This window comes from Homo sapiens, chromosome 5 (assembly GCF_000001405.40).
Source record: "Homo sapiens chromosome 5, GRCh38.p14 Primary Assembly".
Taxonomy (NCBI): Eukaryota; Metazoa; Chordata; class Mammalia; order Primates; family Hominidae; genus Homo; species Homo sapiens.
Window position 1 is genome coordinate 120,085,356 of NC_000005.10, and position 3,542 is coordinate 120,088,897.

Consider the following 3,542-nt stretch of genomic DNA (forward strand, 5'->3'; position numbering starts at 1 on the left):
TTCTTTATGATAAGTTATAGGGCCTTTCATGATCATTTAATTATTGCTCTTTTCCTTAAACCAATTTACAATTCCATGGGGATTTACAGTTTATAAAAACTTTTAAAATGTGTAATTTGTTTTAATTATTATAACTTTGTGAGTTAGGTCTTATTATTATCACTTTTCAGCTGAGGAAATTGAATCTGAGAGAGATTAAGAAAGACTTGCCTAAAGCCATAAGGTGAATAAGTGGCAAGAGCTGAGCTAGAATTCCCAGATAAATGTATCTGTAAAGGTTCTTGCTACTGGCATTTAGTCCCAATTGTATCCTGTAAACTAAGATATTTTTACAGTTTTCTGTACTCACACTGTTTCTTTAGTTCGCAACCTTTGGACGACATTGACTTCCAATTCTGGGTGCATGTCGTTGGATTATACTAGAAAATCCTTTGTGAAGTGTCTAGTTTTCTAGAGATTTTAGTGTCTGAGAGTTATTATCAGCTATAATTAACCCATATATCTTTTTTTTTTTTTTGAGATGGAGTCTTGCTCTGTTGTCCAGGCTGGAGTGCAGTGGCACGATCTTGGCTCACTGCAAGCGCTGCCTCCTGGAATTAACCCAAATATCTTTTGAATAGGTGGTGAAAATGAAAACTCTGTTTGGAGGAACTGATTCTAATTGATTACTTTAAGAAGTTTTTTTCTTTTTTTTTAAATTTAAGATAAGGCAACAACCACCAATGTTTACATTTTGTTTTAAAGTATGCATCCAGAGGGAATGATGATTTAAATGTTTCTTTGAACTATATTTTTCTTAGATAGCATATTTAAAACATGCAAAAGCAATTGTCACCCTCTGTGGCCTGAAGTAGAGTATCTGTCCTTAAGTAATTAAACTTGTGTCACAAAAGCCTCTTGAAAAAGATAACATTGCTTAGGCAAGCTGAGAGTATAGCCTCAAAAGTGCTAGGTTCAAACCACTGTCTGAAGAATTGTTACTCACGAAGCCCTCCTCCTGAGCTGCAAGTAGGAGACCAGCATCTTAAAATCACTCCTAAGTCCAAACCACTGTCTGAAGAATTGTTGCTCACGAAGCCCTCCTCCTGAGCTGCAAGTAGGAGACCAGCATCTTAAAATTACCCAATTGTTTGGACTTTATTCCTCGTTCTCTACCTGCTCGGCTGATTCCTGGAAGCTGAAAGTGATATGTGTTCTGTGTGTGTAGATGCATGAATGTGTGTTTTTGGGGCAGAGGTCCTTATGTGTGTTGTACTCATCCCACATCCCTTTAAGGATGTGGAACAATAAGATATACATATGTTAAAATATTTGTTTTGGGTAAGTGAATCATTTCTTGAAGGAGCACAACCTCCAGTATAATAAAAAGGTTCATGTCTTTGTCTTTTCAGAAGCAAACCTAATTTGGCCCAAAGTCAGGTTTATAACTGACTAGGGAGCCTGGCACCAATGAGAGCTCTTCCATCCTGGCCCCAGAAAGCTGAGCAGATCCCATGGCCACCTCATGCTCACTGGTACAAGGAGTACTGGGCATGGGCTTCAGCCATGGGACATAGAACAGTAACCTTCTCTATCACTTTTTAGAAAAGAATACCATGGACCCAGTTTTCCCACGTTAGAATTAGAATTAAATAATTTCTTTTTATTCGATAACCTATAGAAGGACATGAAGAAAAACGTGAAAGATGAGTTAGAACTATTAATCTACAAAGATTATTAGAATATTGTAAATAATATTATATTTAAAATATAAGTTTAAAATATGATTTTTATTCTGATGTCTTCTATGAGATACAAGCAAACTAAATTTAACTAAGCTAAAAATGTGATTCAGAAATGAACTCACATTTTTTTCGGCCTTGCTTGGGAAGGTCCTATTCACAACAAAGCTAACTTTTTCTAAAAAGGTTCATAACTAAAGCAACAATGATTAAACCTTCAGAATACATTGAAGTTCTAATTGTAGTAGTGAAATTCGGTGGGACCAATATAGAAGGGAAGGGTGAGTTTATCAACAGTAATTGTATATATATATATCAAAGAGAAATACAAAAATATTTTAGAATCTACTGTGTCTATCACTTATTTGGTAAATAACTTAAACTGCATCTACAGTCAATTGCATGAAAACATTTTTTATTTTTCTGTTGTCTTTGAATACTCTGTCTGGTTTTGGGATAAGAGGAATCATCACCTACAGGTCATCACCTACAGGTCACTGAAAAAGCCTGCTTATATGAGACAAAAAAAGGAAGGAGGTGGCTGAGGGTAGTGACTCACACCTGTAATCCCAGCACTTTGAGAGGTTGAGGCAGATGGATCACCTGAGGTCAGGAGTTTAAGACCAGCCTGGCCAACATGGTGAAACCCCATCTCTATTAAAAATACAAAAATTAGCAGAACGTGGGGATGCACGTCTGTAATCCCAGCTACTCGGGAGGCTAAGGCAGGAGAATCACTTGAACCCAGGAGGCAGAGGTTGCAGTGCGCTGAGATCACGCCATTGCACTCCAGCCTGGGCAACAGAGTGATACTCTGTCTCAAAAGAAAAAAAAAAAAAAAAAAGGAAGTGGTGAAGTGGAATCTTGACATGGTGAAAAACCATCTTGCCATACTTAGCTTTTGATTTTTCCCAGGATGAAAATCAGCATATACAAATAAATAGTAAAGTACTAGAGAGAGAAGAGCTCTTTCAAACATTTTAACTACACAAAGCTTGTGTTTGATTTGACTGATTGTCAAAAGTTTGTTTCAATTCAAATAAGCCTGTAAATCTGCTTCAAATGGACAATGTTATTTTCTGTCAAGTAGCAGGACCCACAGTGTTTCTGCCTCTGTCCAAGGAAACAATTTAACTCCAGTAACTTAAAACACAAGATCGTTTTAGCACAACTAAAATAAGTATTTCAAGTATCACAATTCAAACTGGGCCATCTTAGAAGTGAACTTGATAACATTTATTTGATTCAAATTATGAAACTAAAGTGATCTACAAAAAGAACAAAACATTTGTTTCATGGCCAAAATGCTAATTGTTGATGAAAAACACATTTTTTGACTTTAATAATGCACATTAATGTTATCCGCATGTTGGTTTTTTGCATTATTTCCAGACTGGGGGAAGTGAAAATATGATCATTCTTATCCAAGACTAGTGACTACTGAAAGACAACGAAGAGTCTGTAACCTGCAGAAACTTGACTAAGTTAACAACTACTTCCTGTGTGACTGTGTGATTGTGTGGGATATGTGTGTAAGTATGCATGTATGTGATAACAGGGATTTGGCTGTGCCAGTTTATTGTTTAGTATTCTAGAGACAAGATCCTTCTGGCTGCTGCTTCATTTGAAGAACTTTAGAAAGAGAATACTACCAAATGCCAATTGCCATTTCCCTTCTTTAAGCTGGCTGAAGTCAAAAGTGCAGTTGTAAAATATCAAGATGCAGAGATATCAATACTTAGAAATCAACAGTGACTACATTTGAGATCTTCAAACAAATTAAAAGCCAAACTGAATTTACAAAATATAAAACTAAAAAGG

At 36.1% G+C, this 3,542-nt stretch overlaps 1 annotated feature.

The window, feature by feature from the left end:
* Positions 3,126-3,326: a silencer, noted in NCBI's record as "peak5434 fragment used in MPRA reporter construct". NCBI's record gives its function as "represses an SCP1 promoter by STARR-seq MPRAs in K562 erythroleukemia cells {active_cell/tissue: K562}" and the evidence as "EXISTENCE:reporter gene assay evidence [ECO:0000049][PMID:32103011]".